At 41.6% G+C, this 16,184-nt stretch overlaps 2 protein-coding genes and 1 pseudogene across 17 annotated transcripts in view, besides 1 other annotated feature; 2 read left to right on the top strand and 1 right to left on the bottom strand.

Moving 5' to 3' along the window:
* CYP3A5 (cytochrome P450 family 3 subfamily A member 5) overlaps positions 1-2,406 on the top strand; it is a 31,803-nt gene extending 29,397 nt beyond the window's left edge. For all 4 annotated transcript variants that reach the window (NR_033807.3, NM_000777.5, NM_001291830.2 and 1 more), the window contains 2 exons: positions 368-527; positions 2,200-2,406. Coding sequence is in view for 3 of the 4 variants with exons in the window: in NM_000777.5 (NP_000768.1) it covers positions 368-527; positions 2,200-2,295 (256 nt within the window). In the remaining variant the exon portion in view is untranslated. The remainder of the gene's footprint in view (positions 1-367; positions 528-2,199) is intronic.
* ZSCAN25 (zinc finger and SCAN domain containing 25) overlaps positions 1-16,184 on the bottom strand; it is a 121,090-nt gene that overhangs the window by 87,436 nt on the left and 17,470 nt on the right. For 2 of the 13 annotated variants that reach the window (XM_011515910.3, XM_047420020.1), the window contains one exon: positions 2,673-3,129. The exons of the other annotated variants lie outside the window; for them this stretch is intronic. In XM_011515910.3, coding sequence (XP_011514212.1) covers positions 3,077-3,129 — 53 coding nt within the window. In that variant the 3' untranslated portion in view covers positions 2,673-3,076. Of the gene's footprint in view, positions 1-2,672; positions 3,130-16,184 lie in introns of those variants that run through there. 13 annotated transcript variants of the gene reach the window in all.
* Positions 11,518-11,683: a silencer, noted in NCBI's record as "fragment chr7:99236540-99236705 (GRCh37/hg19 assembly coordinates)". NCBI's record gives its function as "represses an EF-1alpha promoter that drives an FKBP-Casp9 reporter gene in an ReSE screen in K562 erythroleukemia cells {active_cell/tissue: K562}" and the evidence as "EXISTENCE:reporter gene assay evidence [ECO:0000049][PMID:32094911]".
* On the top strand, positions 11,577-15,433 carry LOC442603 (ARF GTPase 6 pseudogene; annotated as a pseudogene).

Here is a 16,184-nt window from a genome sequence, read left to right as displayed (position 1 = left end):
CAAGTGTGAGTTGAGGCAGGAATCCACTTTTCCATCCATCAGTCTTATCATTTATGTGCCTTTTATAGTGTGAACACATCACCACCCTGAATATAATTTTAGTGTTTAGAGATAAATATTATTTGCAACAATATTCATCTCATCTCAAGAAACGCTCCTATAGGGTATGGAGAATTTAAAGGACCTGTAGGTTATGATGATTATAACGAAATAACCAAAGCAGGATTTCAATGACCAGCCCACAAAAGTATCCTGTGTACTACTGGTTGGGAGGTGGAGGGGGGTTGTTCTTAAGTAAGAACCCCTAACATGTAACTCTGTGGTTTTTATGTTTCATTAACTATTTAATCTACCAATATGGAACTAGGTTCAGTAAGAAGAAGGACAGCATAGATCCTTACATATACACACCCTTTGGAACTGGACCCAGAAACTGCATTGGCATGAGGTTTGCTCTCATGAACATGAAACTTGCTCTAATCAGAGTCCTTCAGAACTTCTCCTTCAAACCTTGTAAAGAAACACAGGTCAGTACACTTTCTGTATGTTTTATTAAGAATTTTTTTAACTGAAGGGTATATATTTTTTAAAAGAATATGCATGTTTATCTTTTAATAATTCATTCTATGGGCCAAAGAACCTACTTGGATCCATCTTTGATCATTAAGGATGCTTCAGTTCTGGACTTCAAAACCTGTAGCATTAAGAACATCATGTAAAGTCCACACAGATTAGCATGACATGATTATGTGTAGTCTCTTTGAACCTGAGTAAGTTTAAATTCAGTTTCAAGTCAATTGGAAAGAAGTGTTTTGCACAATCATGAAGTGCAATGATTACCTGGCTGTGACTTAAATGGTGTTCTCCATCACCAGAACCTGCAGAAGCTCTCTCATGACAGTGGTTCTCAACCACTAGCTGTATATTGGAATCACCAGGGAGCTTCAAAAATTCATGATGCCTGTGACATCTCAGAAATTCTAAACTAATTAACCCAGAGCGTGACTAGGTTCTGTCATGCTGTCGGGTGAACCCCTGATTAGTTCTCACGTGAAGCCAAGGTGGAGAATGACTAATTTCAGGCATTTCTGGTGGATATGAAGGACTACCATAGAGCAGGGCTATCCTTACTCCTTGACCTTATGTTCCAGGTGATACATTTAAAGAAAGATTTAGAATCTTTTCTCTGAAGAAGTTAAAGAACAGATGTCATTGATTCATATTAAGCAATAGCCTATAAGTCTTATTTCCAGGACCGGTGTATTTAATATGCAACTCTACCCCTTAAGTACACTTTGTGCTTGGGAGAGGAGGAGGATGGAGATGGTTGCCATCTTATCTATGGCTTCAGGGCAGCTGTGTAGCTTTCCTATGTGTGTATTCAGGCAGGGGGCTCAGCCCTGAGAGAAAGTGGGCCTCTGGCACACCTGGGACAGGGAAGATATTCCCTGGCAAGCTCTCAGGCATCTCAGGCTGGCACTTCTTTGTATCCATGGCAATTTGCTTTCCCCTCACTGAACTGAGATCAGAATGTTACTCTGTTGGTGGCTCCCCCAACAGTGAAGGGGTGACTCAGTGACAATAGTGCTAGAAGTATGAGTCAAAACACTGTACAACTTGAGAAATTCCCCGTTTGCACTACGCTTGGAAGCCAAGAGGAGATGTTAAAAAGAAAAGAATAATTCTTTCTGAAGACATTTCCCATCATTGCACTTGATGGGTTCAACTGGGAAGGGTTACTAGACTCTGGAAGTTGAAAACTGCCCACATAATTAAACTGTACAACAGCTACTCAGGATTACCTTGCAAGTTTTAACCTATAAAAATTTAACTTTATATAGCACTTCCAAAATAGTTTGCCATAATACCTACTAATCTGGATTTAATTTTTAAAACTCATCCTTTTAACTTAAGATTTAAATAAAAAAAAAAAAACACGAGTCCACAAGAATTTGTCTCAGGCCTGGCACAGAGTCAGTGCTCCATAAATATTTTGTTAAACGATGGATGGTGAGTGCTTTTACTATCCAGTATTTACCCAGCTTATAGATTAAGTATGAAGAGTTCAAGATACATGGTGTTAAGAGTCGTTTTTATATGCTTGCAAAGCATTTTTGTCATATTTTTTCTACTTTGCTTCCATCTTTTCTTCTTTCACTTCATTTATTAATTCTCCATATGCTTGTTTAACTATTGTAGATCCCCTTGAAATTAGACACGCAAGGACTTCTTCAACCAGAAAAACCCATTGTTCTAAAGGTGGATTCAAGAGATGGAACCCTAAGTGGAGAATGAGTTATTCTAAGGATTTCTACTTTGGTCTTCAAGAAAGCTGTGCCCCAGAACACCAGAGATTTCAACTTAGTCAATAAAACCTTGAAATAAAGATGGGCTTAATCTAATGTACTGCATGAGTAGTTGGTGATTTTGTACATTCATTGAGCTCTCCCAGAGTCTGTGTAGAGTGTTGTGCATTATGTAGTATAAAGGAGGTGACCAGGTAAGTGACAGATAGGTAGACTCAGCTTCTCTGCTTCTCATAGGACTACCTCTACCCACCTCTAGTTAGCATTATCAACTCCTCCTGAGCTCTCATCAGAGAATAAATATTTCTCAACAATTTGATCCATAACTTTTAAGAAAAATAAGAATTATCATGATGACTCTAATAGTGACATTTATATCACGTTTTATTTGTAATATTCTATAAGTTTTATATTAAGCGAAGTGATAAAATCCCCTTTACAAAAATATTATCTGATGCCATCCTGCACACTAAAGAGAAATCTATAGAACTGAATGACTGAAAACCAGCAAATAAACATTTTTTATCATTGTAATCACTGTTGGTGTGGGGCCTTTGTCAGAATTCCAATTTGATTATTAACATAGGTGAGAGTTAATCTGCTGTGACTTTGCCCATTGTTTGGAGAAAATATTCATAGTTTCATTCTGCCTTCTTTGAAGAACATATTTTTTGTAACACTCAACGAAGCACTTATCATATTATTAGTTATGATTTATTATTTTTACCACATCTCCCCTGACATTTCTGGAACACAGGAAACATGTTTTCTTATACGTCTTGCATTCCATCTTCACCTCCCAATTGTCTTAATGCAATGAACACTGAATAAAAAATTGTCAATTCGTCAGTTGATTGGGCAGCATGTCTAAAAGCACTATTCATTTTCCTTTTTTATTCTTTCATTTTCCCTCCTTTTCTGAATACTAAAGCCATTAGGTGGGTTGCAGCCATGTGGTAGCCACACATTAAGGTGGACAAGAGAGTCATGGTGGCTCCAAGTCAGATTCCAAGTGTGCTGGGGAAGGCATCCACATGGAGGGGCAGCCTGACCTGGAAGCGGGAGCCCAAGCAATCAGAGAAGGGGTCCACACAGAGGTGTGGCCTTCAAGAGCAGCCAGAGCCTAAATAGGGCCTGGAGAACCCACGTGAGGTGAGGAGGGTATCCCTGAGTGGGAAGGGATGGGTGAGAGTTGGCTACATAGAAGGGATTGATCACATAAGTAAATAAAGTATACTGGAAGCTAGGTGTGTCACTTTTGCAGAAAAGAGTCATAGATTCAGAAAGGGAGAAAGCTAGCATTAATCCTATGGTGTTAGATTGGAATGGATGTATCAGTGTACATTCATACTTTTCTAGATAGATAGATGGATAGATAGACAGATGATAGATAGATAATAGATAGTTGATAGATAATTAGATGTAAATATATGTGTTTGTATGTGTGAGCATGCATGTGTGTGTGTGTGTGTGTGTGTGTGTGTGTGTGTGTGTGTATAAAACATATATTCCCTACTTCACTGATAGGGCTAGATAACAATGACATTTCAATAGCAATGAGTATACTTAGTGCCTAGATCTTGGCTTATGAATATCATTTTCCACTGAAGGGAACCAGAGCTCGTTAGAGAAATAGCTGATGCCAGGGCTAGGACTAAAAATGTTCAAGATGAGCCCAGGACACTTTTTGTGCCAGGAAGTAAGAAAACACTCAAATGGTTTCTAAATGGTATTTGGAAATGATTTCTAAATGATATTTCCATATGACTTCCAAATGATATTTTAAAAACCTAAAGACTCCACCAAAGAACTATTAGAACTGATAAACAAATTCAGTAAATTTGCAGGATACAAAATCAACGTACAAAATTGGTAGCACTTCTATATGCCAGCAAGGAACAATCTGAAATAAAATCAATAGCCACAAATAAAATTAAATACCTAGGAATTAACTTAATCAAAGAAGTGAAAGATCTCTACAATGAAAACTATAAAACACCGATGAAAGAAATTGAAGAGGACACAAAAACATAGAAAGATATTCCATGTTTATATATTTCAAGAATCAATATTGTTAAAAATGCCCACAATACCCAAAGCAATATATGGATTCAATGCAATCCCTATCAAAATACCAATGACATTCTTCACAGAAATATTTTTTTAATCCTAAAATTTGTATGGATTCACAAAAGACCAAGAAGAGCCAAAGCTAACATCAGCAAAAAGAACAAAACTGGAGGAAACACATTTACCTGACTTCAAAGTATACTACAGAGCTATAGTAACCAAAACAGCCTGGTACTGGTATAAAAACAGACACATAGACCAATGGAACAGAATAGAGACCCCAGTAACAAATCTACACATCTACAGTGAACTCATTTTTGACAAAGGTGCCAAGAACACAGACTGGGGAAAAGAAATGCAAACTATACATCCAACAAAGGTCTAATAGCCAACATCTATAAAGAACTTAAATGTACAAGAAAAAAAAATTAAAAAATGGGCAATGGACATGAACAGACATTTTTCAAAAGAAGACATACATGTGGACGACAATCATATAAAAAAAAAGCTTAACATCACTGATTACTAGAGAAGTGCAAATCAAAACCACAATAAGATACCATCTAACACCAGTCAGAATGGCTATTAATAAAGAGTCAAAAAATAACAGGTGTGGCAAGGTTGTGGAGAAAAATAAACACTTATACACTGTCGGTGGGAGTGTGAATTAGTTCAACCATTATGGAAAATAGTGTGGCAATTCCTCAAAGATCTAAAGACAGAAATACCATTTGGCCCAGCAATCCCATTACTGGGTATATATCCAGAGGAATATAAATCATAAAGACACATGCACACATATGTTCACTGCAGTACTACTCACAATAGCAAAGATATGAAATTAACCTAAACACCCATCAATTACGGACTGAATAAAGAAAATGTGGTACATATACACCATGGGATACTATGCAGCCATAAAAAGGAACGAGATCAGCTGAGCATAGTGGCTCACGCCTGTAATCCCAGCACTTTCAGAAGCCGAGGTGGGCAGATAACGAGGTCAGGAGATCGAGACTATCCTGGCCAACATGGTGAAACCCCATCTCTACTAAAAATACAAAAATTAGCTGCATGTGGTGGCACTCACCTGTAATCTCAGCTACTCGGGAGGCTGAGGCACGAGAATCGCTTGAACCCAGGAGGCGGAGGTTGCAGTGAGCCAAGATCGCGCCATTGCACTCCAGCCTGGCAACAGAGTGAGACCATCCCCACATTCTGAAGTGAACCTAGCTCTGGGGCCAGGCTTGATCGTCCTCCTCAAAGCCATCCTGCTCCTGCTGGGTGGGCTTCTGTGGCTCCAGGCACTTGCATCAGGAGTGTCTGCAGTGAAGGTCTCACGTCTGACCCTCCTGACCTCCTGAGCTGACCTCAACCTGTCCCACTATGTGTTCTCTTTTTTCAAAAAAAGAAAGGTCTGTTACATACATGGAAAGGAAAGAAAGGAGACCAGATCTGGCATTGCTTTTCTGTGAGTGAAGAACATGCAGGAAATCGGCTATCATAATCCCTAGGAATGTGCTTCTCCACTCATTGACTTGGGAAAGGAAACAAATGAAGAAAGGCCTCATAAAAATGAGTTCATGTGGGAGGAATTATATGCAGCTTCCTATCAATTACAGTAATAGGCTGCAAAGGGCGTGGCGGAGGAAAAAGAATTACTCAGAGGGTCACAACAACTGCCTTCTAGTCCAAGTCCCTCTCATTTACCAAAGACACCATGCTTTTAGTCCCCCTCATGCTGTTCAGGCAGCCCAACTTGCCCATTTCTATCTACAAAATTCCACTTGTCCTTCAAGGCTCAGATCAAATATCATGTTCTTCATGAAGCCTCCAGTGCCCTAGGCCAGGAGAGGGTCTTCTTTCCCCTCCAGAGTTCTCCAGAATGCAAATTCTGTGACAGTCCTTTTCATGCTCTGCTTGGCATCAGTCAAGTGCACCCCAAATGCTACCCCAAACAGGACTGTTTGTTCTTAAGTTGTATAAAAGATCCTGTTTATCCAAATAACCCCATCCACAGAAGAATCTATCACAGCACCTGGTGTAAAACAATGACTCAGTACAAGTGTGCTGCTATAGCTAATGATGGTGACGGTGACAATGATGACAAGGACGATGACAGCAAACACTGGAGAAAGAACACTGATGACCATCTCCAAGAGATTTTGCCTTAACCCATTCCCTTTGTCTCCTTGATCCTGATCCCATCCAAAGAAAAAGAATTAAGTGTGTGCTTGTCAGAGCCCCAGGATCTCACTGGCCCCTATTTTATGAAGGGTGGTGTGCCTCACAGGGTCAGCATCTGAGATGAAGCTTCCTTCCTTTTTGCCTGGCCCTGAACAGTCTTCTGCTTGTGCATCTCTTGGAATTCCCATTTGGTCTCCAATCTCCCTCCTGCACAGTGTGCCTGAACCCACAGGTCTTCAACTCAGATGTGGGGCTGAGAGGGGGGAGCAATGCAAGCCTACACGATCTCACAACTCCCTTCCCCAGTGACCTCTATGATGCAGGTTACTGGGTGCAGCTCAGATACTACTACAGTGGGACTGAGAGCCCCATCTGCTGTTGCTCCTTGGGCCATCGGGGTTGGGATGATTGGCAGGGCAAGAATCAGCCTTTCCTGGGTCTCTGGCCATAAAACCACAAAAAACTCAACAGAATCTCACCTCAAGACTGTGAAAATGACATGAAGAGTTGACATCACTATGAAGAAATGTTCAATATGCATTTGCTGTAATGGTGAAGAATATAATGATTTGGCCCCATGGAAAAAAAAATGAACATGAAAAAAAAAGGGGGGGCAGCAATGGGTAAACATGAAAGACCTTCACCTAACCTTGCTCTATGCTGGTTTGTAAGGAGACTTTCCGGCTCACAGGCTTCTAAAGTCCAATGGAGTACATAGGGTAAGATGATTCTTCTCTTATGGCAAACGCCTTTCTAGATGGGCACCGGTCTTGGCCTGCAGGCTGCTTGCTTAGGGGTATGGGGAGAGAAACATTCCCTTTCTCATCCTGCACATAATGCAACCATAAAAGGTTCAGAAGCTTAGTCACTCTTACAGACTTGGAAGTGTAAACTCGATCCTATAAACACCAGAATTTTTATTTCTACTTCAAAAATAAATTGCTTTTTTGAAAAAAAGAAAAAATAACTTCATTACCTACATTAAAAAATCATTATTAAGGACCACTAATGGGGAAGTAAAAGTATCCTCAAGAATAATGAGAATAATAATAATATCTCCTATGTGGTCCTTTCCAAGTTCCACAATACTTTCACGCCCATACTGTCTCTGTTCAACTTGGATGCCTTCTTCACATCACAGACCACAGGTACATCCATTTAACAAAACAATCTGAGCTTGAGTGACTAGTATGTACCAAGCACCATTCTAGGTAGTGGGGGAAATATCAGCAAAAAAAGCAAAGTTTCTACTTTCACACAGCTGAAGTTCCAGGGCATGTGGTAGAACAGGAAACAAAAACAAATTTATAATACGTCAGATAATGGTAAGGGCTACAAAGAAAAATAAATCTACGTAAGAAAATAGAGACTGATGGGGAGTGCTACTGTAGAAGGGTTGTGTTCCAATTATCTATTGCTATGTAATTAAACCACTCATACTTAGTGGCTAAAAACAATAGCATGCATTTATTTTCGTTCATATTTCTGGGGGTGACTAGGCTGAGCTTGGCAGTTTCCCTGTAGGGTCTCTCACATGGTTCCAGTCAAACAGGGACTGGAGCTGGAGTCATCTGGAGGGTTCCTTCTCACCTGACTGATGGTTGGTGCTAGGTGTCCACTATGACCACAGTGAGGACTATTGCTGGAATACCTCTGTGCAGCCTGTCAATGTGGTGGAGGTTCCTCCCAGCATTGCAGCTCTGTTCCAAGGGCAAGCATCCCACCTATCACCTCTTATGACTAAGCATCACTGCCTTCACATTTAATTTGTTAGAAGTGAGTCACTTTGGTCAGTTTCAAGAGGAGAGGAACTGGACTCTAACTCTTGGTGAAAAGAGTGTCAAAGAATTTGCAGATATGTTTTAAAAACATGACAGATAGTTAGAGAAGGTCTCTCAAAACAGGAACTCACATGAAGAGAAGGAGAAAGTTGTGTAAAGGGCTTGAGAAAGTAGCTTCTAGGCAAGGAGAACAACAGGAGCTGAAAACAAAACTGGGAGCGTGCCTGGCATGATCAGGAAGAACTGTCAGGTATGAAAGGACTTTGTTATTCTGAGAGGAGAAACCTTTGGAAAGTTCCAAACAACATGTAAAATCATCTTAGCTATATTTTTAAAAGATTATCTGGTTCTTGGATAGAGAAGAGAGTATGCAGAGGAAAGAGTAGAAGCAGGGAGACAGCTGACAAAGTCTAGGGAGAAGATGGTGGATTGGACCTGAAGCCTTGGAGGGAGTGGGAGTTGTCCGTCTCTGTCAATATTTTGAAAGTAGGGCCAACAGGATTTGCTGATGGCTTAGATGTAGGGTATAAGAGAGTGACATCTAGGCTTTTTGGACTGAGCAACTGGGGCATTAGAGGGTCCATTCATTAAGATGAGGAAGAATTAGGTTTGGATGGTGGGAGGAGAATGAAGAGTTTGGTTTTGTGGTGGTAAGTTTGAGATGCCTACTTGATCTTTAAGTAGGTAGTTGTGAATATGAGTTAGAACTCAAGGGAGAAATCTACAACCCCCTGGAATCAAATAGCTCCTGGAGGTAGGAGTCAAGGATGGGAGGTGATATGGTTTGGCTGTGTCCCCACCCAAATCTCATCTTGAATTATAGTTTCCATAATCCCCACATGTTGTAGGAGGGACCCGAAGGAAGGTAATTGAATCATGGGGGTGGTTACCCGCATGCTGTTCTCATGATAGTGAGTTCTCACAAGATCTGATTGTTTTGTAAGGGGCTTATCCCCCTTTGTTCAGCACTTCTTCCTGCTGCCATATGAAGAAGGACATGTTTGCATCCCCTTCAACCATGATTGTAAGTTTCCTGAGGCCTCCCTATCCCTGAGGAACTGAGTCAATTAAACCTCTCTCCTTTATAAATTACCCAGTCTTAGGCAGCTCTTTATAGCAGCACGAGAACAGACTAATACAGGAGGTAAACGAAGATTCTACCACCTCTCTCCTCCCAATCTCTATCTAAAAGCTCTCCTACCACCTTCTGAAGAGACTGCACTTTTTGACTAGGAAGGGAAAACATGAAGCTCTTGGGTTTGCTACCATTTCCTGGTCTCTGGCCACTCAGATGATAGAACAGAGCTACGGCTAGTGTATGTGGCAGCAAAACTATTTGCTCTTCCTGAAAGCCAAACTGCTCCTCCCAAGTCGCTCTGCTTCTCAGGGCACAACACATATACTACTCATGCATTTCCATCCTCCCTCTCCCATTAGTTTAAATTCTCAGTGACAAAGAATATTGCCTGTTTTCCCGGCTTCATAGCCAATTTTTATGGAGTTTTTTTATCAAAACATATTGATCCTGGGAATGCGTTGGACAAGATGGCTCTCTGGAAGTATATCCTTCCCTGAGATCTTACAGAAAACAGGCAGGACAGGAATTCAAAATTGTGAGAGGCCCAAGTGAATTTATTTGGCTTGGAGAATTTCTGGCAAGTGAATTCAGTATAATTGCAATTGGTGGCTCAACAAACAGCTAGAGATCATTGCCTATGATGGGAGAAGCAAGATTTGCTGATGGTTTGGATGTGGGGTATGAGAGCAGGAATCATATCATTCATTAAAATAAGGGAGAGGCCAGGTGCGGTGGCTCACGCCTGTAATCCCAGCACTTTGGGAGGGCAAGGCGGATGGATCACCTGAGCTCAGGAGTTCAAGACCAGCCTGACCAACATGGTGAAACCCCGTCTCTACTAAAAATACCAAAAATTAGCCAGGCTACGGCAGGCGCCTGTAATCCCAGCTACTCTGGGGGCTGAGACAGGAGAACTGCTTGAACCTGGGAGGCGGAGGTTGCAGTAAGCCAAGATCGCACCATTGCACTCCAGCCTGGGCAACAAGAGCAAAACTCCATCTCAATCAATCAATAAAGGAGAAATAGATTTTGAGGGTGGGAAGAAAACGAAGAGTTTGGTTTAGTGTGTGATGTATGAGATGCCTATTTGACCTTTAAGTAGTTTTTGTTTGAGACAGTGTCTTGCTCTGTCACCTTGGCTGAAGTGTAGTGACACAATCTTGGCTCACTGCAGCCTTGACCTCCTGGGCTCAAGCAATCCTCCCACCTCAACCTCTTGAGTAGCTGGGACTACAGACGCATGCCACTATGCTCAGCTAATTTTTCAACTTTTTGTAGAGATGGGGGTCTCATTATGTTGCCCAGGCTGGTCTTGAGCTCCTGGGCTCAAGTGATCCTCCCACCTCAGCCTCCCAAAGTGCTGGTATTACAGACGCGAGCTACTGCACCCAGCCTAAGTAAGTTATGAGTTAGAATTCACAGGAGAAATCTACAACCCACTGGAATCTGGCTTTCCCCCACTATGCCACTGAAACTGCTCTCACCATAGTGCCTTCTAATTGCTGAAACAGGTAGAAATCCAGGTCTTTCATTCAAATATTTACTGTCTCCTATTATGGAGTAAAGAGCCTGTAATTGGCTGCAATGCCCTTAAGTGGCCCTTGCTAAGGGAAGGTTAGTCTACACCCAAGCAGAGGCTCTTTGTGATGCAGAGGCATTGGGGCAGGGACCTACCTGACAGGAACCAAAAGCAGCAGTGCTGGAGCCAGGGTGCCTCCACAGGGACCACCTAGTTTGCTTGATACAGAATTGCAGGCCCCTGCCCTGAGATTAGACTTCAACAGCTCTTGACTCTGCTTGACAATACTACCTTTACCCCCAAGTGATCTCTAGTAAAACTCCTTTGTTTTCTAGGAACTAGGTGGAGACTTTAAACTCTGCAGGAAACAGGTCCAGTCCATGGAGTTCCAGTCCTTCTCTCAATAGCTAAAATATCTAATTGACATATTATCCTGAATGCTAAGAACAGTGATTCTCAGCTAAAGTCGATTCTGCCTCCCCCAGGGGACGTCCAACTATTTGCTCTTCCTGAAAGCCAAATTGTTCCTCCAGAAACATCTTTGATTGTTACAGCCGGCAGGTGCTACTGGCATCTGGTAGGTTGAGGCCAGGATTGCTGCTAAATATCCTACAATGCATAAAACAACCAGGACAGCCGGGCCGTGCCTCAGCAGGACGGCGGCTCCCAGCGCAGACTCCGGCCCCAGGTGGCAGCGGCGACTGGAGGAATCAAGTTGTGCGGTCGGTGATGCCCGAGTGAGCGACAGGCCTGGGCCTCTGCCCTTAGGAGACAACTCCCAGGCAGGCCGCAAAGGCTGGGAGCCTTCGTTTCAGTTTCGCAGCGGCGGCGGCGTTGTTGGCTGAGGGGACCCAGGACACCTGAATGCCCCTGGCCCCAGCTTCTCTGACGCGATGGGGAAAGTGCTATGCAAAATCTTCGGGAACAAGGAAATGTGGATCCTCATGTTGCGCCTGGATGCGGCCGGCAAGACAACAATCCTGTAAATGTTGAAGCTGGGCCAGTCGGTGACCACAATTCCCACTGTGGGTTTCAACGTGGAGACAGTGACTTACAAAAATGTCAAGTTCAACATATGGGATGTGGGTGGCCAGGACAAGATCCGCGCTCTCGCGGCATAACTACACTGGGACCCAAGGTCTGATCTTCGTAGTGGACTGTGCCGACTGCCACCGCACCGATGAGGCTTGCCAGGAGCTGCACCACATTATCAATGACCGGGAGATGAGGGATGCCATAATCCTCATCTTCACCAACAAGCAGGACCTGCCCGATGCCATGAAACCCCACAAGATCCAGGAGAAACTGGGCCTGACCTGGATTCAGGACAGGAACTGGTATGGGCAGCCCTCCTGTGCCACCTCAGGGGACGGACTCTGTGAGGGGCTCACATGGTTAACCTCTAACTACAAATCTTAATGAGCATTCTCCACCCATCCCCTGGAAGGAGAGAAATCAAAAACCCATTCACAGGATTATCGCCACCATCTCCTCTTTCAATTGCCACTTTTCTTTTGAATTTGAACTCTGGAGTTACTGTTCTACAGTTTGGGGGGAGAGGGCTTGGGGGTCTTCTGTTTCCCGTTCTTTTTCCTTTTTCGGCTTTGCGTTAGGATGCTCTGAGATTTGACATGAACACAAAGTTGCTAGATGCTCTTGTTGACTTCCAGCAGATGGGATGGGGGATATACAGCAGTTCTTGGTAAAGTCCTTTGTAATAATTGATTTTTTTTATTTCGAGAGAATCTTTCATTTTCCTGTGTATGCTTTTTTCCTTTTTTGTCCAGTTTCCTTATCACTTGCTGTAGATGGCTTATTTTGCATTCATGCAGACTATGTTGCAAGTCTGTTTCATCTAGTAAACTGAAAATTATTGCTTAATCAAACTGTCATTTGTCTTTTATATTTAAGGCCTTTCCCCCCTTTCTTATGAGTTCTAACTTAGTAATTTCAAATGTGACCTTTTATATCTAAGACCAGTATAGTAAACTTAGCCCACAGTGGCAAATGATGAGTAATATCATTGTAATATGTTCCAGTTGCACCTCAGTATGTTAAACAGGTAATGTAAGAAGTTCTCTGAAATGTCAGCAAATAAGTTCTGAAACATACATCATGCACGAGCAGGAATAAAACCCAAGTTCCCCATAACGTAGCTAACTTAACACTGCATAAAAATATGAAAGTGTAACCCATGAAGGACACACTTTTTTTTTCCACTGCAAAGTAGTCACTTTGCTGTTTTTCCTCTTTTTTAAACTTTAAAAAAACACTCTTCCCAGAAATTGGAGCAATAATGGGGTACACCACACATAGATTAAATATTTGTAGATATTTTAAGTGACTTTTGGGCAAAACTAGAATGTATACTTTTACCTTGTTACAAACGCCTAAGACCAGTAATTTAAAAATTACTAACAGGTTTACTTTGTTCATTAATAAAGCATGTAACCATTCAAATTATATGCACCTTTTACCTAGTTGAAAAAAATACACATTCCTGTTTTCACATTATAGCAACTGATTAAGCTGAAGCTATAAGTCATTTTTTATAGATGTGTGATCCACACCTCCATCAATTAGAACACTGAAAAATATGTTTTATAAAAAAGGTATTTAATTTTGTTTGTAGGATTAACTCATGCAAATAATAAAAAAGATACCCTGTTGGTTCAATAGTACACTGTCTCCTTTAAGGAAGGAAGCATGATGAATGAATGATGTGTAGACTTGAGGGATGGACTATTAAAGTGGATGGAGGATGAGGACAAAGAACCTACAGATTACAATGAATGTAAACTTAATTTTTCTTCATGTGTAAGCAGTGTGCTCGCTGATGATATCTAGATCCTAACAAGATTACTTGGTTAGCTGGCTAGGACCAGTAACTGGATTGCAACCACTATGATAATATTTTGAACCAAATGTTAATGCTTGATGCAGAATTGTAAAGCAGCATCTGGCTCCTATATAGCCTTAAGGAATAATTTTAGTGATCCTCAAGGAATTAAATAGGGAATTTAAGAAATGTAGACTGCAAAGGCAGTATACAGGAAAAGGTGGAGTGGGTTTTGTTTATGAGTGTGTCTGAAAACTAAAATTAAGCGGGACATCTTGGTATAGTTGGACAGTATTGGTCCTTCACGCTTTGGCCATATTGTATAATGGAGCTTTTACCAAAGACGTATGAGAAGTGTAAGACTATAAAAAAAATGAACTATTTAAAGTAAAACTCTTGACAAACATTTTACTTAAAGCAGATGCAAAAGGTTATTCTCATGTAGGCTCCTGTTGGTGCAGAGGGATTTTTGATTTCAAGATGCAACTAAAGTACGAAGTTCTCAGTTTCACTTTAGTAGAAATAGTTCTAGAAATAAGGCTAATAAACACATCTAAGAACACTGGTTGCTTTCTAAAATTCCCAAAGTTCCACCATAAATGTAATCCTTAGTGTTTTAAATGATTGCATTTTAAGGTATATAAATATGGGTTATCCAACATCAATGCTATAGTAACATCCTGAAACAAAACAAGCACAAAGGTATAAATGCCTAAACCGGAGGAAACTTGAAACCCTCATGTTAAATCTTTTTTTTTTTTTTTTTTTTTTTTGAGATGGAGTCTCGCTCTGTTGCCCAGGCTGGAGTGCAGTGGCGCGATCTCCACTCACTGCAAGCTCTGCCTCCCGGGTTCACGCCATTCTCCTGCCTCAGCCTCCCAAGTAGTTGGGACTACAGGGGCCCGCCACCACGCCCGGCTAATTTTTTGTATTTTTAGCAGACACGGGGTTTCACCATGTTATCCAGGATGGTCTCGATCTCCTGACCTCGTGATCCGCCCGCCTCAGCCTCCCAAAGTGCTGGGATTACAGGCATGAGCCACCGCGCCCAGCCCATGTTATATCTTCAATGTAGTATTTCTAACTTGTGAAGACAGATTGGTAGGCAGCCACTTTTTTGTGTCTTAAAATAACTGGGAGCATAGTTAAAATTTTATACATCAAGTGATTGCTATTATTGAATGTTGCAGGTGAGATGTGGTTATTTTTAGTTTATTTGAAATGTCTGACTGGAAATGGGGGAGGGGGAAGGAAATATTTGAAATTTGGAAAACTCTAAACCTTTTGGTAAGAAATTGTAATTTTCACTTAAAATTTTCTTTAAGGATATAAGAGGTTTATAATTGATGTAGTTAAATTGAACAATAATCATTGGTGACTGGAGCAGGTAATTATAGCCTGCAGAAAAAAATTATAATCTAAGAATTGAAAAAATAAGATCCTGAAGTTGTTTAATTGCATCAGTTTCTGTATTTATGTGAATTTATAAACTGCAGTATGTTTTGAATGAGGTTAATCTTGTTTAATATAAGTAAATGAGTCTGTAGACTATGATCGCCCCAAACTAAAAAGTACAGTACCTGAAACTGTGTTCTTTATGGTTGTAGTGTTAGTAAAGCACTAATATGCAGAAAATAAAGGAATTACACAGTGAAAAAAAAAAAAACCAACCAGGACAGCTGCCAACAGAGAATTATCTGGCACAAAATGTTAACAGTGCAGGGGTTGAGAAACCCTGGCAAAGTTTAAGAGCAAGTACCTGCTACAGAAACATGTTGCTACCTGTCATTTTCCCTGTCTCAGAAGTGGATTAAGTCAATCTGTACTGTACAGAGGGAGGGGACTTGAAACCAGCTTATTATTATTATTATTACTATTGAGACAGAGTCTCGCTCTGTCACCCAGGCTGGAGTGCAGTGGCATGATCTCGGCTCACTGCAACCTCCGCCCCCCGGGTTCAAGTGATTCTCCTGCCTCAGGCGCCTGCCACCACGCTTGGCTAATTTTGTTTTGTTTTGTTTTTGAGACGGAGTCTCACTCTGTCCCCCAGGCTGCAGTGCAGTGGTGCGATCTCGGCTCACTGCAAGCTCCGCCTCCCGGGTTCACACCATTCTCCTGCCTCAGGCTCCCAAGTAGCTAGGACTACAGGTGCCCACCACCATGCCCAGCTAATTTTGTTTTTTTATATATTTTTAGTAGAGATGGGGTTTCACTGTGTTAACCAGGATGGTCTCAATCTCCTGACCTTGTGATCCACCTGCCTCGGACTCCCAAAGTGCTGGGATTACAGGCGTGAGCCACCGCGCCTGGCCAAATTTTTGCATTTTTAATAAAGACAAGGTCTCACCATGTTGTCCAGGCTGGTCTCGAACTCCTGGCTTCAGGTGATCCGCCCGCCTCGGCC

Source organism: Homo sapiens, chromosome 7, assembly GCF_000001405.40.
Source record: "Homo sapiens chromosome 7, GRCh38.p14 Primary Assembly".
In the NCBI taxonomy this organism is placed as follows: domain Eukaryota; kingdom Metazoa; phylum Chordata; class Mammalia; order Primates; family Hominidae; genus Homo; species Homo sapiens.
This window is presented reverse-complemented; position numbering and strand designations above follow the sequence as displayed.